The sequence below is a fragment of the Homo sapiens genome, chromosome 4 (assembly GCF_000001405.40).
Source record: "Homo sapiens chromosome 4, GRCh38.p14 Primary Assembly".
Lineage (NCBI taxonomy): Eukaryota > Metazoa > Chordata > Mammalia > Primates > Hominidae > Homo > Homo sapiens.
In genome coordinates, this window is record NC_000004.12 from 77,023,533 (window position 1) to 77,049,715 (window position 26,183).

General features: G+C 40.4%; 2 protein-coding genes across 18 annotated transcripts in view, besides 1 other annotated feature; one reads left to right on the forward strand and one right to left on the reverse strand.

Annotated features, from left to right (window-relative positions):
• The window catches only part of SEPTIN11 (septin 11), a 90,403-nt gene extending 73,781 nt beyond the window's left edge, over positions 1-16,622 (forward strand). For 4 of the 8 annotated variants that reach the window (NM_001306147.2, XM_047415959.1, NM_018243.4 and 1 more), the window contains 3 exons: positions 5,097-5,229; positions 7,251-7,438; positions 10,965-15,083. In NM_001306147.2, the coding sequence (NP_001293076.1) occupies positions 5,097-5,229; positions 7,251-7,438; positions 10,965-10,980 (337 nt within the window). In that variant the 3' untranslated portion in view covers positions 10,981-15,083. Of the gene's footprint in view, positions 1-5,096; positions 5,230-7,250; positions 7,439-10,964; positions 15,084-15,540 lie in introns of those variants that run through there. The other 4 variants (XM_017008401.2, XM_017008403.2, XM_017008402.2 and 1 more) reach the window with 2 other exon arrangements.
• Positions 2,470-2,549: an enhancer, noted in NCBI's record as "active region_21634". NCBI's record gives its function as "activates an Ori minimal core promoter by ATAC-STARR-seq in GM12878 lymphoblastoid cells {active_cell/tissue: GM12878}" and the evidence as "EXISTENCE:reporter gene assay evidence [ECO:0000049][PMID:35858748]".
• A 7,000-nt stretch (positions 16,623-23,622) lies between the features above and the next one.
• Positions 23,623-26,183, reverse strand: part of CCNI (cyclin I) — a 28,835-nt gene continuing 26,274 nt past the window's right edge. For all 10 annotated transcript variants that reach the window (NM_001348134.2, NM_001348132.2, NM_001348139.2 and 7 more), the window contains one exon: positions 23,623-25,130. In NM_001348134.2, the coding sequence (NP_001335063.1) occupies positions 24,687-25,130 (444 nt within the window). In that variant the 3' untranslated portion in view covers positions 23,623-24,686. The remainder of the gene's footprint in view (positions 25,131-26,183) is intronic.

A 26,183-nucleotide genomic window follows, 5' to 3' on the forward strand; every position in this document is an offset into this window, starting at 1 on the left:
AACAATTTCTCCTCTTAGACCACTCATTCAAACTCTGATGTCCCTCCTGGTTTAGGGAAGATTACTTGGTACCAAAAGTTGGCTTTGAATCACATGTCTTGGTAAATAGTGATAAGAAATGAATTTGATTTTCCTTTTCTTGGAAACCACTACTTTTAAAAGGGCTCGGCCTTTCCCTTTGAAGAATTTCGGGCACCCTCAGCACTTCCTGTGCACCTGAGCGGGAGGAATGGAGTGAGGTGACTCTGTTTGAAGGATGACAGAGTTAAGGAAAAGCAGAAGCCACAGTTGATTGAAGTGATTTTCCAGAATTTCATCTGCAAAGTCACCATTCCTGGATGTGCTTGGAAGATGGATCTTCCGTGTGAATTTAGGCTGAGCTTGGAGGAGTATAAATCAAGGGCTTAAGGTTTTATTATATTCTCAAAGCACAGGATTTCTGCATGGGTGTGCAGTGAAGTTCATCCTTCCCAGTGAGCACCCTCGTTCACCTTTTGTCCTCTGGGCCCCACTTGTGTTTACAGTACATGTTTGTAAAACAGAGAGTGACCTCTAACACCAAGTCTAGTAAGAGGCAGTGCCACTGTGTATGTTACACAGTGTGAGGCAAAAGGAGGAGTAGCGCGCGCACAGAAACGCCGTATTCAAGCCTTGGCAGCACACCACGGCAGTAAAGCTAGCGGAGCCCGTCCCTGGGGTGCCTTTAAACCCGCCTGCATTCACACTTGCGTCTTTATTGTCTTGTGGCAGAATATGTATATAACCAGACATTCATCTGCTCTTTCCCAAGCCCATCTTTATCCGCCCCCTGTGCATGCCCGGCTGCTGCCCTGAAGCCTTGAAACTCATGCGTCTACCACCCAGAGCACCCATGCTTCCCTGGACCCAGGCGTCTCCTTCCTCCAGACCCCAGCCCCTTTCTGGCTGGCATTATAGGGTAGAAGAGGAGACGTCACGTGTCTCCCATGAGCCACTCCCTGCTTCCTTTCTCCTGAGAGGCCACAGCGCTTTTCCTAACAGTACCTGCCCAAGCTGCTCCCATCTCACCTCAGAACACCACCGTCTCCTTGCTTCACCCCCGTTCAACTCACACGAAGCACTCAGTTACCACCATTTTCTCAGAGGCCAACGAGGTCCAGGCCCCAGAGACTCACTTGTTTTTAGGAGTGCCTGGGCCTCTGTACACCAGCCATGCAGTGCAGGAGATGGAGTTCTTATCTGAGCAAGGCAGCCTGGTCTCAGTCCTGGCTCTGTTACTTCTTTGTGGTGTGACCTGGTCAAATTACCTGTGTGTCCAAGTTTCCCCATCTATAAAGTGGGAGGTGATAGTAATGGCTACCTTATTGGGTTGTTGTAAGGATTAAATGAATTCACATGTGTATTGCTCCACTCCACAAAAGCTGGTGGAGATGATCATACTCTGGCCTGCCCTCCACTAGATGCTTTTAGATAAGAACAGAGAGAGAATCGTGCTGTGTGAATCACCAGAATGAAGGATGAACTGAAGTGTCTGTGTTCGTTCTCTCTTCCTTTGACTTCAACAAGCAAAACCTGCCTCTCCCAAGGGCTGTTAAGAGGAAATTATAAGATAAAATCCTCAATTTCAAATCAATCTAAAATCTTGTGAAAAAGGTACACATTTCTCACTTAGAAAAGGGTATTAATAACTGTAATTAAAAATTAAGTTTGAAGAACTAAAAGTTGCAAAAGATACCACTAAAGGGATGCATGCAGTGGCTCACACCTGAAATCCCAGCACTCCGGGAGGCTGAGGTAGGAGGATCACCTGAGCTCAGGAATTTAAGACCAGCCTGGGCAACATAGGGAGACTTCATCTCAACAAAAAATTTTAAAAAAAATTAGCTGGGCATGGTGGCACATGCTTGTGTTTGGTCCCAACTACTCGAAAAGCTGAAGTGGGAAGATCGCTTGAGCCCAGGAGTTCGAGCGTATGGTGAGCTATGATCCTGCTCCTGCACTCCAGCCTGGGTGAGACAGTAGGAACCTGTCTCAAAAAAAAAAAAAGATGTAAAATCACTTTGGATATCTTTACTGAATATGAGCCAGTTCCTTCTGAACTGGTCTTCAATGACTGGAAATATTAGTGAGGGCTTGTGGTATCTCTAGTGGACAACTCAACTGGCAGAGGGGCTGGGAATCTGATTCTGTGGATGCTATGGTTCTAAGTTATTTGTAAGTAACTAATTACAGTTATGATTCCTTGGGGTAAGGTTTTATGGCTTCTGTCTTATGTTCCTGATCATTGTTTCCAATGTCAGAGTTCAAAAGCTGGCTCACATCCTAAGACACAATGATATAAGAAGTAGCATTTGTTGAGCCCATTTGCCTGCTCTGGCCCAGGGTGTCAAAACTGCTTCCAGACTCATGTCTGAAGCTAATCTTGCCAATGGCAAAGTTGCTCCTTAGGCTTTCTCTGGGACTAGGCTTTCCAATTTTGGACTGCAGGTTTCACTATAAAAAGCATTTTCCATCATGATCCAGCATACACATTTTGTGTAGTAATGCCTACTCTTAAACTTTTTAACGTACTGGTTAAGACCCACAACTGAGTTGTGATTCATAGTTTCATAAGATGGCTTGTGGTTGGGACTGGATAAGGCAGAGTCATTTAGTGAGTTCTCAGCATTTAGGGTAGCATTACCCAGAGCACATTCTATCAGTGAACTGCCTAAATTTTCCATGATCAGACAAATTTGGAGGATTCTAAGACAATCAAGTTGAATAGATTCTTTTACTGAAGGGCTACTCAGAGCATTTAAGACAAGCAGTAGTTAGCAAACTAGTTATATCAAATCACATGGGAAGCATTTAAAACTAGCAAACTAGTTGCATCAAATGACCTGGGAAGCATTTAAAACTAGACCATTTTGCCTTACCAGACATCCTGAATCAGCCTCTCCAGGACTGAACTTCGGACTCTGTATTTAGGGAAGTGTATGCAACAAAATGTGCCTAGTGCCCCTGCTGTATGGCCAAGGTTGAGATCCACCATGCACTGTGAATCTGCTAAAAGGATATCAGGGGCACCATTCTCCCTTCCGTCTTTTGACGTTGGAGCCCCTCTTTTGGAGATCCTTTCTTGAAATTGGTGGTCTCTGGAATACACTTTCGGTGGTGTTTCTATCAAAGTTTCCATTGTTTGTTAGAAAGAAGAGGGAGATATATTCATTATTCTAAAATCAACAAAAACTGAGTTTTCTGTAAAATTTCATAAGAGGGACGAGTCATCCTCTACCTTTGGCAATTCTGACCTAAATAATAGTGATCAAGAGTTTATTATAAGCTAATATGCAAAATTTCATGAATTATTTTATAGTTCTGTTATGAGTACACTTCTCTATATCTCCATTGCTATAGATCTTAAACTTGAAGTCCAACTATTGCTATTAATATTAGCCAACACTAACATTGGCCAAGCATGTTTTTATCTTATAAGATAATGTGAAAGCGAAATGTACCTCTGGAAACTCAAAACACTTGATTGTTCATAAACAGGTACTATTGATAGTGGCAAGGGCAAGAGAACTTACTTTTAATAAACTAATAACCGTGTTAATTATTGAAGTATAAACCAGCCTGATTAATATGTTTTCTTTTTTCGAGATGGAGTCTTGCTCTGTTGCCCAGGCTGGAGTGCAATGGCATGGTCTCAGCTCACTGCAACCTCCAATTCCTGGGTTCAAGTGATCCTCCTGCCCCAGCCTCCCAAGTAGCTGGGATTACAGGTGCTCATCACCACATCCAGCTAATTTTTGTATTTTTAGTAGAGATGGAGTTTCACCATATTGGCCAGGCTGGTCTCGAACTCTTGACCTCAGGTGATCCTCCTGCCTCGGCCTCCCAAAGTGCTGGGATTACAGGTGTGAACCACCATGCTTGGCCTAATACATTTTCTAATACTAAACTGGTTGTGTGGTTCATTATAGATGTGTGTATCTACATGCACGTATGCTCCTATCACCTGAATTTCCTTTTTCTTCATGTAAATGGACAGATGTAAATGATATGTGGTGGTCTGCATGGTGCCAGGGATCGTGCAGAGTGGCTATCCAGTTTGTAGTCTACACTTTGGATGAATTTAGTCCATGGGAAAGGCAGATATACTGCAGATGGTTAATATACAACAATTGTTGTAGGGAAACTACAAGACAAAGAGAGAAATAGCACTTTATAAAATATCAGCAAATGTTTCTGTGTGTATGTGGGGGTTGCAGTGGGGGTGTATTTTCTTAAGCTGTGTTACCAAAGTGATTTCTCTGTAAATATATTTGTTTTGACTTAGAGATAAAGCTGAGCTGTAGCATTCAATGTAGAATATTGGGCTCTAACTTCCAAGACAGTCAGGAGGAGGATAGAATTGAAAATAAAAATTAAACTTCTCCCTGCTCTGTTTACAACTGGTAATATACTTGAAAAGTAGCAATTTTCTACAGTACCTTTAAAGGTAATGTTGTCTCTTTAGTTTACTTGCTGGGTCTATTTTCCACATTGGGGGCTGGAGGGAGATGAGAGGGGAGGGTACCATTTACTGGGCACTGACTATATGTTCGATGTTTTATTCCCTTCCCCTCATTTCATTCTCAGGGTCATATCCCTAGAAGGTAAGTGTCACTGTATCCACGTCTTAGACCTTGGAGGCTGAGGGAGGCTGTGCTTTTCTAAGAACAGCCGGTTACTTAGTATGGCCCAAATTCCAATCCGGATCTGTGGGACTCCAGTCCCTCTTCATTTCTCCCCCTATAGCAGGCCTTCTCCATCTTCTCAAATTCTATACCACCTCCACCTCCTCAGCCCAGGTTTTCCTTGTATGAATATATGTAAGATAAAACTTGGCTAGTCACAGACACACCTTTAGTGCTGTGTTGTGCTTACTGACTGATTTCTAGTTCTTGATGCACTTGTCTTTCCAACCACAGCATAACTAAAAGCAAAACAGTGTCATTCTACTTATGCTTTGATCTGGCAAGCAGCAGCTTTATCTATGTTTTGAAAGTAGATAGGTAGAAATTATGTGAACTGAAATTTCTTAGTATACAATTTCATGATGCTGTCCTTCGTTTGTGGATTTTCAATAGTCTTCAGGAGACATATGAAGCAAAAAGGAATGAATTCCTGGGAGAACTGCAGAAGAAAGAAGAAGAAATGAGACAAATGTTTGTTATGAGAGTGAAGGAGAAAGAAGCTGAACTTAAGGAGGCAGAGAAAGAGGTAAGCCATCTGTCCTGCTTCAAGGGAAAGATTTGTAAGAGAGAGATTTTCTAAATACATCACGCTTTAGAGGACTTCATGATGGTCCAAGTACTTTCTACATGCATTTTGTCACGAGTGACCTGCCAACCTGGCCAGGAAAATGGGTCAGATATTCTCATCCCTGTCTTACAGATGATAAACAGGTTATAAAAGTTAAAACTATTTTTGCAGTCACATACCTAGTTAGCAGCAAAACCGAGACTAAAACTAGATCTTAGGTCTCCAGATCTGATCACATGGCCTGTGTAGCTCTGTGTTTCTTCAATTTACAAGTCTTAAAACATGAGATTTGGGATTCTGCGACTATTATTATCTTCTTAGTCTATCAGCCAACTCAGCTAGACTTTGGCAGTGTCTGGGGGACAACGATCTGACACAAAGCCTGCACTCCACATCTGCGCCCGTGCTTCTGCCCTCACGGGGCTTGCACTCCCTGCTTCAGCCTTACCTTAGTCCCCTCCCCTGGCCAGATTAACTGCTTCCTAGAAGTTAACATAGATTTATACTATAACATTCATCCCATTGTATTTGAGTGTGTGTGTGTGTGTGTGTATGTGTGCTTGTGTGCATAATGTCTATTTCTGCTGGTCAATAATGAGTATCTGAAGTGTTTGACCAATGTCTCTATATGTTTCTAAGTGAAATCATTTAAATAAATTTCCTCGTTTTCTTGTTTTAATTTATTTTGTCTAAAAACTACTGAAATTTAGAGGCTATTTAAATAGCTAAGCACTCAAGATGGTTTTGCTGCAGAGAAAGTTGAGCCTTATTTGCTGTTGGCTTCAAGAACCAAGGGGATGCTGGGTAAAAAATCTAAAATTGTCTAGAATTCCTTCCTTTCCTTTTCTTTTTCATTTTCTTTCTTCTTCCTTTGCTTTTCTTCTTCCCCTTCCTTCCCTCAAGGGCCAGAAATTTCCCAACACATTATTTAAGTAGCTAATACATAATGCATATATATATATATACACACACACACACATATATATACACACACATATACACACATATATACATACACATATATATGTGTATATATATACAAACACATACATATATGTAGTCATTGTATATATTTCTAAGTAAATGTTTTTTATACATTTCGAAAAAGGACCAGAGGTAAAGAACCACTTTTACCACTAGGGTGAGTTTTTTGTTGGGATCATAATTATTTTTGGCCAGGTGCAGTGGTTCACGCCTGTAATCCCAGCACCTTGGGATGCCAAGGTGGGAGGATCACGAGGTCAGGAGTTCGAGACCAGCCTGGGCAAATGGTGAAACCCCGTCTCTACTAAAGATACAAAAATTAGCTGGGTGTGGTGGCGCATGCCCATAATCCCAGCTACTCGAGAGGCTGAAGCAGGAGAATTGCTTGAACCCAGGAGACAGAGGTTGCAGTGAGCTGAGATTGTGTCACTACTCTCCAGCCTGGGCAACAGAGCGAAGGAATTTTTAGTCCCAAGGAGTTCTAGTGTCACAGGAGTCTGGGACTCTGAGGGATGCTCTTCAGCATCCCAGCTCAGCTCCTCCAGGAAGTCAGCAAAATGGTACTTTACACCTGTATTAAAGCCAGTGCAGCCACATGACACATATTTGTTTGTTTTCTTTTATTTTCTTTTGAGACGGAGTCTCTGTCACCCAGGCTGGAGTGCAGTGGTACGATCTCAGCTCACTGCAACCTCCGCCTCCCAGGTTCAAGCAATTCTCTGCCTCAGCCTCTTGAGTAGCAGGGATTACAGGCACCCGCCACCACGCCTGGCTAATTTTTGTATTTTTAGTAGAGATGGGGTTTCACCATCTTGGCCAGGCTGGTCTTGAACTCCTGACCTCGTGATCCACCCACCTCGGCCTCCCAAAGTGCTGAAATTACAGGCGTGAGCCACCGTGCCTGGCCATGTTTTGTTTTTTGAACAGATCCAAAGAACTTTACATCAAAAGGATTTTCATTCCATTCACCAAGCCTGTTTTCTTTTTCTCTCCAGCTTCACGAGAAGTTTGACCTTCTAAAGCGGACACACCAAGAAGAAAAGAAGAAAGTGGAAGACAAGAAGAAGGAGCTTGAGGAGGAGGTGAACAACTTCCAGAAGAAGAAAGCAGCGGCTCAGTTACTACAGTCCCAGGCCCAGCAATCTGGGGCCCAGCAAACCAAGAAAGACAAGGATAAGAAAAAGTAAGCAGGTGTCACCCCCCTGTATCGGGGACCTCTAACAATTTATTCCTCTTGCATGTCTCTACTTTTCCCATTTACAGACTGGAAACTGGTCCTTTACCAGAAAGATAAAAGCAAGTATTTTCTCTACAGTGCAGGGAAGATGATGAAGGTTTTTAAATTTTTTTAAAAGGTACACAAAGATTAATTTATAAAACTTTACCACAATTGACCAAGCAATCAGGCCTGGAGGAACCTGTTGTCTCCAGTAGCATCTTCCACACCAACACTAGGAGTCTCAAAGAAGACAGGTTGATGTCTCTTCAGCACCCTCTGAAGACAATTCTCATGACTCTTGATAGAGAGCATCCTAAAATCACAATTGTTAAAATTATTTTCCTATTCTGTGTTGTAAGACTTCGTAAGCCAGTCACTGAAATTCTCGTTCCCAAAATGAAACATTTGGAAGAGCTGCTAGTGGCCACTAGTTTCCTCAAAATTCAATATGATGAATTGTTTTATTGTGAAATGGGATCCAAATGCCTATCCAGTTGACACCTCTGCCAACCTCAAGCCAAACCTAAACCCATTCATAAAAGGTTTTTTTTAAATAGGGTCTTAATGTCATGTGCCAAAGGGTCAGATTCTGCTCTTGAGTTGGTCACTTCCTGTGATACTCCAGTAGCAGCTGCCTGAAACCAGTGGGAGATTTAGGCCTCCCTTGACATTCTCCTGTGATTTGAAGCTCTCCTTTGAATCATCATAAAGCCTAGTTTTATGTCAATGCTATCGGTTTTGACAGGAAGCACGATGGTAAGAATACCACTAACGAAAACCTTTGTGGTGTCTCAATGACAAATATGCAGATGCCACCCTCCTTTGTCTAATGTACGGTGCTTTAGGGCAGCTATTTAATATAAAGCAACTCAGAACTTGTTTCAGGAAGTGTTGCTCTTTCGCCTTACATGCCAAGGTTCTAGGGAAAAAGCTGACCATATGTAAAAACATTGATGCTCAAGCACATAAAGAATTACATTCTTTAAACATAGAGTACATAGGATCAAGTCTCTGCACAATAATTGAGATGTGTTATAGGGAAAAGTGAGCACAGTGCTATTGTCCACTTAGTCTTGGTGAATGTGCAGTAGGCTCACCCCTAAGGAATCTCATGTTGCCTGCAGTAAAAATAAAAATGGACTGCTACAATGACATACTGAGAGAGTTTTAAATCATGCTTTACAAACTGACATTCTGAGCTCTGAGACAGCAGAAAATGTATCACCAGAGCAAGGGAGGAGGCAAATGTTCTGAACAATAATTGAAATGGTTGTGATTTTATTTGGAGTTGGCACAGATCCAAGTGACCAAAGGAGTTCAAGGCCCAAAATTTAGTTATGCTGGATTAATTCTGAGAGTAACAAGCACATAGATTATAATCTAAGAAAACCCTTTGTAGCTATGCATGTCGGGAGAGCATCTAACACTAATGGTGATGTTTCCCATGCAGAGACTCAGATTACAGTGACTCTTCCAGTGAAGACAGATGAAAGCCATTGGGCATTGTACCTTTGTTAATCCAAGCTAAACTAACCAAGGATATAGGGGTGTGTATGTGTCTGTGTGTGTGTGTTTGTGTGTGTGTACACATACATCTATAGGTATGAATGAGACAAAAAGCTGCTGACTTACAGCTTAGGAAATGCAAAGTCAAGTTTTTCTTTTCACCCTGAGGCACTCAGTGCATAAAGGTTCAAGTTTTAAAACTAAGAATGTTTCCAAAAGACCAGCAATGTTAAAAGAGTATTTCGTGTATACTAGACGTGCCTTTAAGCAATAAAAATTCCAAGAGCTGATCATTATTGTGCTTCCATTTTAGAAAAGTTTATTTAGTAACAAACTTCCCAGTGTAGGGAGGTTTTTCCTTGCCCTTTTGAACATGTTAGGTTATTTTCTTCCTATCCTGGGGCCTTACCAATGTGTAATGCTTTCAAAGTTTCTATGAAGCCTGTGTGGATTCTATTTTAGCTTATTTATATATTCTCATTTATTTTGAAGGATATTATACTTAATTTGGTTCAGAGTAGTCGCCAGGTTTTGCACCTGACAATGGCACATATTTTTTGTATAACTTTTTCTAGGTCCTTACCCTTTTCCACACTTTACATTTGTACAGTGAAAGCAACTGCCAGTGGAGGCCTGAAATGTCCAAGAAAAAAAAAAATCACACCTCTTACTGCCAGTGGTAGTGGAGTGTTTTGGTTAGAGGGACCGCAGAAAGACAGTGGCCAGGCTAGACAGAGCAGCACTTTGAAAAGAGCTGGGAAGATGCCTCCTAGCATAGCTGGAACAGATGTGGGAGTTGCCATTCAGGAACTGACTTTGTTATAGGTAGAAAATGAAAAGGCAGATGCTTACTTATTTACCTGCTATGCTTCCACCTCCAAGCCTAACTTAGTTTTTCTAATAGTTTTAAATTCTCTTTTTTCTGTTCTAATGACACGCTCCTTTTTTAATGTAGGTAAGGCTTTATACTTCTCCTTGACCTGTAGTGGCATGAGAGTGTATAACATTTCCTAAGATGACAGGCAAAGTAGAACTAACCCTGGCACTGCCATTAGCTGGACCCCACCTTCTGCCATCTCTGGCCACGAAGTCACTTTCCTTGTTTGCGGCTATACCACAGTGGTGGGACTGCCCAGGGGTAAGTTGGTCAGTGGACAGTGTTCCTCTTTTCTGAAAACTGTCTGCACAATTGCCAGCAGGCATTTGCTGGTTAAGATGCAAACAGTTTTAAAATTCGTCATTTTAAAACCATACTTGGCATCTAATAACTACAGTTTACCCAACCATCCACTCATCTTTTAAAAAAAAATCATTTTGATTCTTGCTAAGGAATAAGGTTGCATGTTTTGCAGTTGCCTAAAATTAGACACGTGGACCGTGGGTTTGGCATTACTTTGTACCTAAAAGAGGGGGAAAGCTCCTGGCATTGCTGTAGCTGTAACCATTCCAGTGATTGTCCTTTTTTTCCCCCTACCCAACTAGATTAATAGCATGTCCTCCATTCACTATGTAATTTCAATCCCTAAACTGCTTTAGACCTTTTCTTCAAGTCAATTGTACAAAGGCATTTATTGTATATTTATTCTCTGACTCCTTCAGCAGCTCAGAAGTGGAAAATGAAGCTCCTATTCAGTACTAATGGGACACCCAAACCTAATAGATAATGGTTTTGTGTTATTTGAGAAAACAAAAGCCAAACAGTAAATCCTCCCACTAGACATGCAGTGGTTTCAAGAAGTCACTTGTGAATTCTAAATTACATACAAATGGAAACTAACCATATGTCTTTAATTCAGTATTAAATTTTGCTTTGGCTTGTCATGTAGAGTAGCCTTCTCAAATTTTTGGTTTTAATTTCTGTCAATTCCATAATCATTGCATGAGCATTCACCATCACTGAATGCTGGTGCTGTCGCTCCTAATTTTCCTTTCTTTTTAATTTATTATTATTTCTAACTTTTTTGTTTTGTTTTTTAACTTGCAGTGCAAGCTTCACATAAAGCCTGGCAAGCCAAGGATGTTCCCGCATTCACCTGCTTTTGCAGTAATATCGTATCTCTGCCATGTGTGTTCTTTAGTTTTATTTTATTTTATTTTATTTTTTTACCCTTCCTCAAACACCAGTAACTATTATTAACTCGTTTTGCTGAATGTTGTTGGGTGGTAGAAAATGATAGAACAAGGGAATAACCGCGAATGCTCTGTGCAGCTGGACTCTGTTTCCGGAAAGTAAATGATTTGCTTTTTATGCCTGTTCTGAATGGCAGCACGAAGCAGGCCTGTTACTTGTATGTCGCTTTGGACAGAGGAAAGTGGGGTAAAATGCTACCTGTACGTCTGACATGAAAACTTCTCACCGCCTCAGCAGCTGAACTAAAAACCTGAATAGCCATGACAAGAGTTTGCATTTTCTTGATGATTCATCTCCATGAGTGCACAATCCCTGAACTCACTGTCTTTTCTCCACACTTGTCCTAAGCCAAGGTAGATTTGTACGTAGACAGACTGGTGAGCAAGCATTATATTTTATTTTTACCCTTGCATGACATTTTCATTTTAATCAATAACATTATTTGGCCTGAGCTTGTGGGTCTGTTCAGACTGTCTCCTCTCATGGTTTGAAACTGCATCTGAATGCCTGCCTTCAATCCTGGCCAAGTTGGAGTAGACTGGTATGAGAAAACTATGATTAGTTCACATTTACTGGTGCATCCTTGATCCTCTCACAGATAGAGGTCTTAAAGGTTGGATCATGTAACATTGCTTAGTAGAAGAATCTTCTTCTAAGGATGATGGGCTTTCTACAGCCTGCTTACCACTAACAGTAAGGAATCTTTCATAAACACACCTCAGTTTGTTCCCAGTGGGCTTAGAGGGAGGACCTGATGACTGATTCCAGGATACTTGTACTTCTAATAACATTTTTCATGAATCATGAGAAAATTTCCACAGATACTTCCCTTAGAAAATTTGCTATAAACTCTGTATCATTGGTAGCACAAATTTGAGCGAGGCCTTGTCAATTTTAAGGTGGAAATAGGAAGGACCACAACATGACCCGTAAGTCAAGAAGGTAGACATTTCATATCCAGCTTCCTTGCTTAGTCTCCTTTCAGTATTTGGCAATAAAAGAAAGAAGAAATAGAACAGCTGAAGTCTCAAATCATTGTCTGGAATTTTCCTCACCTTGGCTAGCTCCACCTGCTCTTTGTCTAAGGCCCTTGCCTCATCAGGGATTAGAACTGGCCCATATGCCAGAACCTGTACTAAATGCCTAATTTGTATGGAAGAGTGCATATTTAATCTCTTTTCTATACTGCTCCTTTCTGATGCTTATCCTTTCATCTGTGTGATTGTTTTTTCCCCTCTACTAACAAGATCCTCCCAGCTTTCTCTCTACATGTAGAAAGGATAACATTTCTCATGAACCCACTGCCCCTCTGCATTTTCCTCACTGGTTAGAGATTAAGTAAATAGGATAGAATATGCTGCGTCTCCCCTGACACACACTTTCTTTTTTGAATGAGCAAGTCTCCATTTTGATTTCAGCAAAGATTTTTTCTCCTTTTCTTTGTCCTCAACCATACTTAGAGGAAAGAAGGAATGGTCTTCCATGAACTGATTATGCTTAATTAAGCAAAGTAAGGAAATTAGTTTCATGGAAGCCTAAACAAAGCTGGAATAGAAACTACACACTAGACACAGCAGTAGTCATAGTCTTCACAGGTTTAGGAGCTACTGGACCAACATTCTTGTTTTTGCTTTTGTTTTTTTAAATAATTCTAGTCTGGAGCTAACTGTGGAGCAGCCAAATAGTAGCTGGCATGTTGATTCAAACCATGGGCTGAATTTGCTCATAGGCTGTGCATCAGACAAAAGCTTGAATATTTGTGTTGTATGCTTGTTCCAACCACCGCTTGTGTGAGCATTTTTGTGGCTTGTACAGAAAGTACACTTTTAAATTGTCTCTTGCATCACTAAAATTTTTTTAAAATGAGCATAACAACGAAAGGCATCCAGCTGACTTTTTGATTCCAAGATTATTGATTGGATTGACTTTTTTGCATTAAATTTTTCCCAGCAAAATAAATCATATGGCGAGTCAGGGAATAAAAAGTCAAAAGAAACAAATAGAAGCTTTTTTTTTTAAAAAATGTATTGCTTCTGAACTTTTTTCTGCCACTGCTCCCTAGCCCTGTTTAGTTTGTTATTGCTGCTTTTCTTTTTTCTTTCTGTATCTATGCCTTTTTTTCACAGTAGTCCTTGGCTCTGCACGGAATAAATGATACCCTCAAATCTAATTGGATGTGCTTTCGCCTTTGCATGTAAGTACGGTAGTAAGAAACCTTTGAGATCTTTCTGACTTTTCAAAATTAGAGAAAGCAAATGGGATGGATAGATTTTTTTTTTCTTTTCAAGGGGGGCAGGAAGGTAATGGTTTGAGTAGCCTTTGTTTAAAAAAAAGACTAAATATATTTAAAAGGCCACATTTATATTTTTTTCACAAGAACCACATAATAAATTCCACTTCTTGACCTGAATTTGGAAATCCGAAATTACTAATCCAGGCCAGGTGTGGTGGCTCATGCCTGTAATCCCAGCACTTTGAGAGGCCGAGGTGGGCAGATCACTTGAGGCCTGGAGTTCAAGACCACCTTGGCGAACACGGTGAAACCCCGTCTCTACAAAAAATACAAAAATTAGCCAGGCGTGGTGGCACGTGCCTGTAGTCCCAGCTACTTGGGAGGCTAAGTCAGGAGAATTGCTTGAACTTGGGAGATGGAGGTTGCAGTGAGCCAAGATTGCACCACTGCATTCCAACCTGGGTGATGAAGTGAGACTCTCCAAAAAAAAAAAAGAAATTATTAATCCCTGCCTGTGCTCTACATAGCCTCATGGGCATCATTGGATAGCTCAGAGGGCCCTTGATTCTGGCAAGGCAAATAAAGCCAGAATGAGAAATTACCATCTTCTACTAGAGAAAACCAAGAGAAAAATTTTTATGCTAGGATGCCTTTATGACCACTTAATTTTTTAATCTTAGTTTAATGGTCTCTCCCTGGTGCTAACTGCTGACAGTGGCCACCTCTTTTTTGGGGATTGAGGGGCCTACATAACTAGCTGGCCTTACCCCATATCTTTTGTTCAAACATAATACCATCTTTTTGCTTCTTCTGAACTTTAGATCTCCATAACACATGTACTGTAGAATGTGATGGAAAAGCATTGATGAGAATTTATTGGCAGTTCAGATTGTGTTTTCCCAACTTAGGCTCTTTATTAATTGGTTAAGGTTTTCTCCAAAAAGGGCATTTCAACAATGGGAATTATTTAATGTAACAGTGGGCACAGATTACTTATCTTCCTTCTCTGCTTTGTGACTCACCAGCAGTAACACACACAATCCACATCTTGTGCACCTCAAATGAACAGACTTGGTTTCCTTGCTTTCTTGACATTTCCATGACTGTTTCACATACAAACTATTGGGTGAGGTTTTTCAGCTGTTACCGACCCACGTCCTGCTGTCTCTGTGTGGTCCTACAAAAACTGTCCATTCCCACCCCTTTGCTTTGCCATTTGCAAGAGTCTGGAATTGTCAGGTCTCAGCTTCGAAAAGTCCTGGTTCCACTGACAGGACACATTCTTTAGTGGGAATTAAGACCTACAAAGTCTAGTTTGTATGTAGGTATGAAGGGAATTTTTTAAATAAATTGAAAAGCTGTGAACAGCATTAGAACTTTGTCTATTTCTTAATTTTAAAATATGCTGATATGCCTTAAACTGTAGTTGTAGATCCTTGTCATTTTGCTGTTTGAAAATAACCAATGTGTTTTCTAAAACTGTCGTGTAATCTACTTTCATTGTTAATGCAGAATTGTCATATATGTAAGCTGCATGTTAGACATTTGTCTTTTTTAAACTAAAGTAATTGTATTGATGTGAAGCATATCATTTTTTCAAATATGAAAGTGATCACTTAGCAACATGCTTGGTAATTTGGCATCTGTTAAGGTAGGAGAGTGGTGAACAGATAATCTATGCATATATCACTAGTGCCAAGACATAAAGCGGGGGAAAATATATTTTTACCCAAACATTATTTGTGTGCCCTTTTTTGTGAGTTCTTTTTAGTCACTGCTTGGTTTGCATATGTACACGTGCTTACTGGATAAAAGAAATAGGGATAAGAGTCTCATGCTTTCCTGCCTCGTGTGGTAGACTTCAAATGGCTGCCGTCTGGGTTACACCAGTTTCTCAAAGATACGTGCCATGTGGTGTCCTGTACTTCACATATCATGTTATCACCCTTTTTCCCCCATGCCTGTCCCTGTCCACCCTGCCAATTCATGTGCCTTGGTGCCCAGCTGAGGCATCGTCTTCTTCACTGGCCTCCTCTTCCCTGCTGCTGCTCACCCTCCCGTCGAGCTCGAGGAAGTCACCCCATTAACTGACACACTGCTGTTCTTTCACAGCTTGTTGTAGAGAAGCTCCTTTTCTTTTCTTAAGCCATTAAGAATCAAATTTGAATCTGAACCTTTCTTTTTTCTCTTCTGTAGCTTCTTCTTTATGTAACCATCCTGTTGACAAGCCCTACTCTCTCCTAATGGACATAGAGCATTAGAAGAGCAGGAGCTGTCTGTTCACACGTGTTGGGGAAGAGTTACCTCATTTCCACCATCGCCTCCTGTTCTTTTAAAGTCTGGGTCAAATATTGCACTGCTGTTTGTACTTGTCAATGTCTGCCCATAGTGGATACTGAAGTGACTTACCACTACCAAAAATAGTCATATTCAATAATATTAATTAAAAAGGAAAAAGGAAATTGACTGAAACAGAAAACGTGGGCCAAGACCCAAGGTCTTGTGCTGGGATCCCCTTGCTTAGAACTATCATGTTCTTGAAGCTGCTGATCCAAGAACTGATGGACTGAAGACAGCGTGTACCCTAACCTGAGGGGGCCACCACACCCAGGGCCCACAAACTTGATCTCATGGTAACTCCTGTCCTTTCTGTCCCATGAGCCACATTCTGAACAGCCTGATCAGGATCCTCAACCGTCAGGTCATAAGATCCGAGCAACATTTTCCTTCCTTTTGTTAGTTTTATGGGTTGTTTTGGTGTTTGGGGTTTTTAAAAAAAAAAAATCATTTGATATTGCATGAACAGAGATGGCTGCAATTTTTTTTCTTTGGAGTGTTCTATTGATACAATGTTTTTATTTTTCAGCTGACCATCTGCCTCTTGAGAGAGAGAGAAGTGGGCATCCTTCCTTTAAATTCAGGAACCACTGTTGTTTTATTTGACTTTTTCTGTTACTTGCATCCCTTATATAAGTTGTTTTGGATTTGGGACTATGTTTTGGGGGAGAAAAACTCCAGTTAGTTCTGTTTTTTGTATTGGTTATTCAGCTTACTTTTGGTATCAAAATTATGCCAGTTTTAAGCTCACTTGAGTGAAGTTTAAGTCACAAGATTCTGTTTAACATGCTTTCCTTGTTTTGGAAACAACCAAAAACTTCCCTTTTTTGTTACGGGATTTTGACCTACAAATCCTAATCATGTTTAAAATGTGCCGGTGTTGGGTAGATGACTTTTCTGCCTCTGGGGTTCAATTTATATTTAAAGATACCTTAAAATAACTTACTGGCCCATCCCTGCCTTTTTATTTGTTGTGAAGCTCTGTACCTTGTGTCCACAGCTTTTTACCAAGACCCATATGTCTTGGACCATGGGAAATGAACCCCAAACAAGTACATGTCTCTTCTCCCAGATAACAGCATCATTAACAATGGTTCTGATTCACATTGTCTTCTCAGAGTTACCTAGGTGGATTTCTCTACAATATCTGCAAAAAAACCTGCTGAGAATCAAAGCATTCAGACTTGATCACTTAAAATAACATCCATATCCAAACACATACTTCTGCCAGTTGAGTAAGCCTCTGATTTCTAATGCTGACCTGTTTGTGATGAGTCAGATTCAGGGCTAGATTACTTTAGTTAGCAGTCACTTCTTGGGGGCAGTTTTCATAGTGAAGGGACAATTTTCAAATCGTATGTATTATAAAGCATGGACATATATTTTGTTATCTTTCAATTTCATTACCTGTTTGTAGATAGGCTTATTTCCATCTTTACTTTTCAGCTCCATAGTAGGTAGATCATAGAAATACCGTTGGTGGCATGAGTTGCCTTTAATCAAGATCCTCAGGAGTGTTCCCCTCTGAATAAGAATGGTAACATATGGTTCCTTTAGACAGTGAAATGAAGAAGCAACAGTCCCTGCCTCTTGAATCACTTGATTCCTGGAAAGAGATTATTTAGAGCAATTGGATGAACAAGTTGGCAAGCTGCTTTCTTTACTTAGAAACTAAGTAAATGTAAGTAAAGTCAGATACATGTGAGCCATTAAATGATCAAAATGTCAGCATCAAAAGCCATCCCCTTCATTCTACACTATAATCTGTAAGGACAGAAATCTGCTAGTAATGTGACCAGTGGAGTGGGAAAGGAATAGCAGCTCCTTACCAGCTGATGCCAGAGCATGACATCAGTTTTGCAAGTTAAACATGTAGTTCCTGTTGTGTGAGACTACTGTCATCACTACATATAAGTGACTTTATTCTTAAACTCCCTATTTTGATATTTTAACTTTATTCTATCATTTTAAAAACAAATTCTGCATCAGATTGTAAATATTTTTTGAGCAGTATTTAAAAATCAAATTAGGCAATATTTAAGTAAGAAATGTATGTCTGTTGTTGCTATTTCCTTTTTTGTTTTTCTGTTTTAGCTCCCAGAGTAGAGGAAGTTAATATGAACCATGTTAATGGGAGGAGTTGGGGAACTGAGAATATTATCAGTACGTTAGCCTCAGTCCAGTTACCTAGGGGAACCTGATCATGTACACCTCTGGCCAACCGAGTGCCTTGCCATCTCAATTCCCCTAAGATAGATTGCCATTCATTTGGCATTTTACAATAGGCAGTTCTTTTTCTCTAGTGTTGATAAAACTGGTAGATTTTCTCCTGGCTGACCAAGTAAGGGATGTGAAACCATCTTGGGTATAATTACTAGCAATAAAAATTACTGGCTTATCTCAAACAAGATTGTGGAAAAGCAAAGCAGGGAGAAGTGAGCCATCTAAACCTGTTTCCATTGGTAATAGGCTTTTTGTTCTTCATCAATCTTAAACAAATATTAGTTCTTTTCAGATACAGACTCTGCCTTAATACGAGCATAGTCTAGATGGTCTCCTTGAGATTAGCCCAGCACACGTGTAAAGGAGAGATCCAACTTTCTCAATGGTTATGCACTGAGCTGGACAGATAGAAACAGGTCCTCACCCCCAATAATTGACCGAACTTCTTTTCCCGTCAACAGTGCTTATCAAGTTCCTTCTTATTTGGTTATCTATCTATCTATCTATCTATTTATTTATTTATTTATTTATTTATTTATTTATTTTTGGCCTGCTATTGGCCCAGATTATGGGTAAACAGGTCTGGTATCAAACAAATACGTGGCTAAGTGCGATGGCTCACACCTGCAATCCCAGCATTTGGGAGGCTGAGGCCGGTGGATTGTTTGATGTCAGGAGTTTGAAAACAGCCTGACCAACATGGTAAAACCCTGTGTCTACTAAAAATACAAAAATTAGCTAGGCATGGTGGCGCGTGCCTATAATTCCAGCTACTCAGGAGACTGAGGCAGGAGAATCGCTTGAACACAGGATGCGGAGGTTGCAGTGAGGCAAGGCCGCCCCAGTGCACTCCAGCCTGGGCGACAAAGCACATCTCCGTCTCAGAAATAATAATAAAATAAAAAACACAAAAGACTATTAAAGTTTTTTTAAGCCACCTTTAAAACCTTTTGTTTCACAACTGACTTATCTTCCCACCTGGAGACTGACAGTGATGGCAGTGTGGCTCACTTCAGAGTTCCTAGTGCTTGAATTTTTAAGACCATGGTATCTAGTTTTTGCGAAGGATGCCATCTGTCTTTCAGGTCAATCTCCAGCAAGCAACTGGCATACCCAGGGCTGGTGAAGGGATTGCTTGTATTAATTTTTTTTTTCTTTATTGGACTCTCACTCTGTTGCTTAGGCTGAAGTACAGTGGCATAATCACAGCTCACTGCAGCCTTGACTTCCTTGGTTCAAGCAATCCTCCCACCTCAGCCTCCTGAGTAGGTAGGACTATAGACATCAGCAACTATGCCTGGCTAATTTTTTTATTTTTTGTAGGGATGGGGTCTCATGTTGCCCAAGCTGGTCTCAAACTCCCGGCCGCAAGCATTCCTCCCACCTCAGCTGCCCACAATACTGAGATTACAGGCATGAGCTACTGTGCCCAGGTTGCATGTGCTAATTTGAGAAGACTAATTGGGAGCCTAGGTGTCTACTCATCTCCCTTTCCTACCTTGCTATTCCTGATTAACAGCTATATATAAATGAGACCTATTGGTTGTCAGTGGAACATCACGTGAGGTACAAAAGATTTCACATCTGCCTCAAATCAGTTACTTGTAGGGATGTGAGATGAATAGCCTTTCAGTCCATTGTGGAAAGTTTCTTCCAAAGTTATGGCACCTAGACCGGGGAGGCAAAGGCTATTATAACAAGATTTTTTTGGTCCCTGTCTCACAAAAGAACAAATAAATGTGTGTGTTTGAGGGTGGGGAACGGGGAGCAGAATAACATTCCATAAAGAGCTGGGCTTAGACAGGTGCATTGGCTCAACATCTGTAATCCCAGCACTTTGGGAGGCAGAAGTGGAAGGATCACTTGAGGCCTGGAGTTTGAAACCAGCTTAGGAAACATAGTGAGACCGTATCTTTAAAAAAATTTTTAAAGTTAGCCAGGCATGGTGGTGTGTGCCTGTAGTCCTAGCTACTCAGGAGGCTGAGGTGGGAGGATTGCTTGAGCCCAGGAGTTCAAGGCTGCAGTGAGCTAGGATCGTGCCACTGCACTCTACCCTGGGCAACAGACCTAGACCCTGTCTCTTATATAAACAAAAGAGCTGGGCTTAACTGTGAACAATGTGTTTAGAACTCTGGAGAGTTGCAGTTCTAGCTTTCCTTGTCTTTTTTTCTTATTCACTCATCCATCTTCCCCCAACCCCTCCTTCCCTCTTTCCAAATACTTTATTGTGTATACTGCACCAGGCCTACATTAGGTACTGGGGATTTAGCCATGCACTATGAATTGAACTTGTATAACTCATATAAGCACAGCAACGTTAAGAGTGAAAGAAAGAAAAGGCAAGCCTTTTCTATGCTAAGTCGTTTGCTGAAGATAGATCATATCCTGAAAAGCAAAAAGGATTCTGCTCCCCACCAGTCACTTTGTCGTGGCTGCTTGCCTAAAGTTGGCCTTCATTCTGGAGTGTCCTATTGCCTAACAAAATAAGCTATTTCCAAGAAATGGGAGACCAGTTCACTAGGCCTAGGGCTATTCAAACTGCTTTTTTACAACCTTACTGTTGTGTAACACAATAAGGTCAACAATTCTGGCATTTGATCTGGTATGAAGGCTATACTTCTAGAGTTAAGAGAAAGGCATTTCATCCTTCTCATTTCATCCTTAACTCCAGAGGCTCTTAGGAACTAAAAAAGTGAGTTCTTCTCAAATTTCTCTGATAAGACATTCTTGGTTATCTTATTACGCCTTTTAAAGTAAAACTGGCACAAGGGAGAGTTATGTCTGACATTGGTCTTACATACGAGTACATCATAAAAGCCACTAAATATGGTGAGGGAAAACTTGCTATTTCTTGATGCAAGCTGTGCTAAGTAAGCGTGCTCTTCAATTTTTCTCTCCTAATGATTGGCCAAATCCAATTCAAACTGAAAGCAGCAAGGTTTTGGGACTTGGCTATATTCAAGCCTTCCCAATTGTATTTCTAGGCTACTTTACAGAACCACACAACTCACTAATTGGGATTTGTAAGACTGGTTCTGGTTTTTCTTGGTCTGAAACGTGGTATCCAGTCACCATCTGCCCCTTAACCCTGGCTGATCTTGCCAAAGTTCCCTGTCTCTCACACACACAGGCCTCCTGTACCTTAAGTAATATGAACTTCTAACTAAGCCAACACAGTTGGCTCAGCAACCAGATGAGTGTTCAACTGCTCACTAACATACAGTAAACTCAACTCAATTTCTCCCAGAAATTGAAAAAGATGCTGTATTTTTCTAAAAGCACCATCTAGTGGCCAAAACTCATAGCATTATTTGATAACAGGTATAGGAGACATTCTCCTCAACATAAAGACTGAAAGAATTTTCGAGGCTTTAGAAGTAACATTTACATGTTAGACAAAACTTCATGATGTCAAATAGAAAGGGTAAACGTTTGAGATGAGTTAGAAGTTGAACCCTGTTAAACTGGGGATGCATTCTGCCAGGTTGGTTGTGAGAACCTGTGACATAGTATCTTCGCTTTCCAGTTGAAAATGTGCAAACTACTTTAGATAAAGATAAGCTCCTCATCATGTTGGCTGTACATCAGTAGCTTAACCACATTTTCTTCTCAAGTGAAAAGCCACCATGCTGCTTTGGGCACTAATGCTCAAGCATAACTTGCTTCAGGAAATCTAGGAGTAAATTTAATAGCTTGAAAATTCAGGTTTGTAAAGAGCACAGAGGACACACACAAGTGGCTGACTCTAATAACACAGGAGAAAATACATAGTATTTCTTGGGGGCACAAACACCAGTGTCTTAATTCTCTCAAGAACATAGGTTCAGATTCTCTTCAACTTGGCTGAGTGAAGAGCTACATTCTACCTTCCTTCACAGCCAAAGGTAGCATCAGGAACATTTATGACAAACTGGTCATATTTGACCTTTTACTGACATTTGGGAGCATTCTGCGTTCCCAGCTTTCCCTTCTCCCTCCAAACTAATACATCGTCTATCTGTAGAGAAAACTTATAGTTCTCTATATAACTAACTTTATATTCATCTCGTAGAGAATGAAGAAGTAAAATATTTAGCTTCCAGTCTGATCTTCAAGGGCTAGAACATGTTTAGGTTTTTTTTTTTTTTTTTTTTTTTTTGGTTGAATGGAGGATTAGAGAATAACTACTATCCCCATCAAGTATATTCCCTTGCCTTTCCAGAGGCTTCACGGAGCGACAGGTTTTTTAACCACCAGGAGGCACAAGACAATTATGATGCAGAGTGCTCAAGTTTCTGGATCTTGAGTTTGTGATGTGATGCCAAAGTTTAACACAAGTAACTTGGGACAGGCTGAGAATAGTTTCAGGTAAAAGGAACTAATTGAACAGCAGGAACTTTTTTTTTTTTTTTTTTTTTTTGATAGTCTTCCTCTGTTGCCCAGGCTGGAGTGCAATGGCACGATCTCGGCTCACCGCCTCCTGGGTTCAAGCGATTCTCCTGCCTCAACATCCCGAGTAGCTGGGATTACACACCTGGTTAATTTTTGTATTTTTTAGTAGAGATGGGGTTTCAGCATGTTGGTCAGGCTGGTCTTGAACTCCTGACCTCGTGATCCGCCTGCCTCAGCCTCCCAAAGTGCTGGGATTACATGCGTGAGCCACCGCACCCGACCGGAACATTCTTAATGAAAAGTTCTACACTGTTCAAGAATACTAGGCTCTTTCTGTCACAAGCCACAGTTCTCTAAGGGCCCACAGTAAGTTGTGAGGAAGTGGGCTCAGTCCTCTGAAATGGTGGCCAAGGTTTAACAGTGCTTTTGAGGGCCAGGTCTCCAAAACTATCACTGAACTGAACGATGGGTTAAATAAGCTCTGAGGCATGAGGGCTAGCAGCCCACTATCCCACTTGATTCGGTGTCCCATGAGAAGAATGCTGTGTTCCAAACTAACTTACCAGCAATTTGTAAATGTTGAAAACCTTAAGACTGAAAAGTGAAAATCCTATTGTCCTCTAACATTCTGCTCAATTTGCAGCTACTGGACTACAAATGAAATACTGACTCTAAACTCAGTTTTATCCCTAGCTGTCTACATAACACAACTATGTCCTCATCTGTTAAATAGGAGGAAGTTTCATAGTATCTGTATCATTTTACAGATACTATGAACATATGCAGTTGTAAACTTCTTAGAGCTCCTACAATTCAGATGAATTAAACAGATGAAGATCAGGATGAGAAATTTTTAAAATGTCTATCTGTGAAGCCAATCCTTTGCTATCTTCCCTCCCACTCCCTTTACTGACATGTGAGTAAATGCTTCCCATTTAATTGGATTTTAAGGTCATAAAACAGGTAAGTCAACCCTACCACAAGAATTTTTTACAAATCAGATGATGACCTGAAAATACTCTTGTTCTGCTAAATCTGAACATTACAAAATGGCTAAAAATGACATTTTAAAGATAGGGGTCTGAGCCTACTCTCACAAGCAGTCACATTAAGATGTAAATTTACTATTTGGAGGATTCACAGTGCACCAGTGAAAAAATATCACGAAAGAAAAATTCTTATGTCTAAAACCTATATCCCTCGATCACATTCAGATCCTCTTCATGTTTTATTTTCAGTAAGTGTATTCTTGGTCTTTCTATTGTTTTCTCTAGTTGAAATAGCAGTGCCTAGCCAATCAGGAACCTGTACCTCTTCACAACCAGAAAAAAGTCACAAAAACAAAAGTTAAGGACAACTTTTTATTGCTACCAGAGGCTTTTATCATCAGTACACAGTTCTGACTGCAATACCTTTTTCAGACTGCAAAGGGAGCTCAGGATCCAGAAGTCATTAAAAGAAACATAAGGCTGGGGAGGCAGGGGGAGTAAGTTCTATTAGAAAATCCTAATAGCTTAACAAAACTAGGGTACTAAATTCAGTTATAACATGTTACAGACTTAAATCATAGAGCTGCCCCAACATCTAGACAGTCTCTCCTACTGATTATAAATGAGTGAAAACTATCAGTTAGAAAAATCTAATTTAAGTTGTTAATACATGTTTCTTTGGTGAGCACCTGGATATATTTATCACAAATTCTTTTATACAAATGTCGAAAATGCTTTCAACAAACCTAAGTGTCCTAATTACATGCCACTTTTAAGCATCACTTTAAGGTAAACAAAAATGAAAACCATAATTTTAAATTAAAATTTGAAATGAGACACAAAATCAACCTGGTAATATGAGAACTTTTTCTTTTGCCATCTCTGATTAATATGGGACAATTCCAAAGTACCCTTTTCAGACTAATTGGAACTTGAGTCATGGCTGTCACACTGAAATAATTTGTTCATTCAACTGCAGTGAAAATCAATATAGATCAACATGCATAAAGTTCAGTAACTATTAAATGGAGAAGCAAGCAAAAGCAACAGGAAAATTAAATCAGGATGCTGAGGGGGAACAGGATTGCTGGCCATGAATTTTAATTGAATTTTTGACGGGGCAAGCTACGTTACATTATGGCAGAAAAAAAGTGCAACTGACATACTACAAAGAGATTTTTTAAGTTTAAAAAAAGTTTGGATCTTTTGGATTTCTTTTTTTTTTTTTTGGTCTTTATGTGCTTAAATAACGCTGAATTATAATTAGCCACACAAATAATGAGAGTTTTATTTTTTTTTTCTGGCTCACTCCAAATCAGCCTGTTAAGGTATATTTCCTTCTACAGCCTTTCCTGATTTTGCATGTTCTCATTCCCAAAGTAGTCTACCTTAGTTTACACTCAAAGGTAGCACTTGTTGAAACTACATGACAGAAACAGGCTGCAAAGGTGGACAAGGGGAAGCATGTCCCTCTTGTCTTGATAAATCAGTGCCACACACAGAACCCACATTTTCTGAGACATTATCTTCATTATAGAGCCGTTTGATTCCATCATAGAAGTCATCCACTTCCATTTCCTCTACTTTGCGTTTAGTAGAGGTCTGCTTGCACCCACTGGCAGCTGGGAGATGATGGTAAAAGGCTGCTGTACCTCTGACTGGCACTTCTGGCTTGCTGTTGTCCTTGGAGAAGTCTGGGCCTGGGACAGAGGAGGGATGTAATCTGAACACTCCTTTGTCACAGGTCACCAGGGTGTGCTTGAGGGGACGGTAGACATAAACGGAATTCAGAGGCAGGGAAGACTGCAGAGTAGAAAGGTGATGTGCCACAAGCTCCCGACAATGGATCAACTGGGAGCTATCCATCTGGGCCAGGAAAAAAAAAAAGCCACACACAGTTGATCATTAATTAACATAGGCTGCTCTGTTATCTCTGGTGGCCATTTTTCCTCCCTGTGCTTTCCGTCCCCGCTGAGTCTTTTCTCTCCCCACATCTACCTCCAACTCATTTATTTATCCAGCTACCCATCCATCAACATCATCTTAGAAATTAGGTCCAAATCTGTATTTCTAATATAATTATCTTTGGAACTTGAGTTTTGTATTTGCAATGTATGCTGAACATTTACATGAGAACAGAAACTACTTTTTTGTATCCAACGTCTGTTTTTTTTTTTTTTTTTTTTTTTTTTCAGTCTATTCCCCCTGTCTGGAAGGCCCTTCATCCTACTCTCTTGGCCTCTTCTAATTTTTTTCAGTGGAGTCCAAAGTACTCATAAACACATTCATTAAAAATGTAAGAAGCCAAAGGGCAAAAAAAAAATTTTTTTTAATCAGGGATGAGGAGGGAAGCTAAGAATTTTAAAATAGTAAATGAAAAATTTAGAAATATGTATTTTGTAGAAAATAGTAGACTTAGCACTAAGATGAAATGTTTTTGGTAAAGTTTTTAATTTGGGAGTTTTGCTGATTCCTTCTTACCCTTCAGGACAATTCACAGATATCAATCCTTTCTGGAGTTACCCCTGACTCCCTCAACACCCCAAAACTCTAAATGCCACGGTCATCTGTTTCTATATCAACCTTTTAACATATTTATGGCCAGGCGTGGTGGCTCATGCCTGTAATCCTAGCACTTTGGGAGGCCAAGGCAGGTGGATCGCTTGAAGCCAGAAGTTCAGACCAGCCTGGCCAACATGGCGAAACCCCTTCTCTACTAAAAATACAAAACATTAGCAGGACATGGTGGCAGATGCCTGTAATCCCAGCTACTCAGGAGGCTGAGGCATGAGAATAGCTTGAGCCCAGGAGGTGGAGGTTGCAGTGAGGTGAGATCAAACCACTGCATTCCAGCCAGGCCAACAGACAGAGCAAGACTCTGTCTTAAAAAAAAAAAAAAAAGACACTAAAACCTTTCAA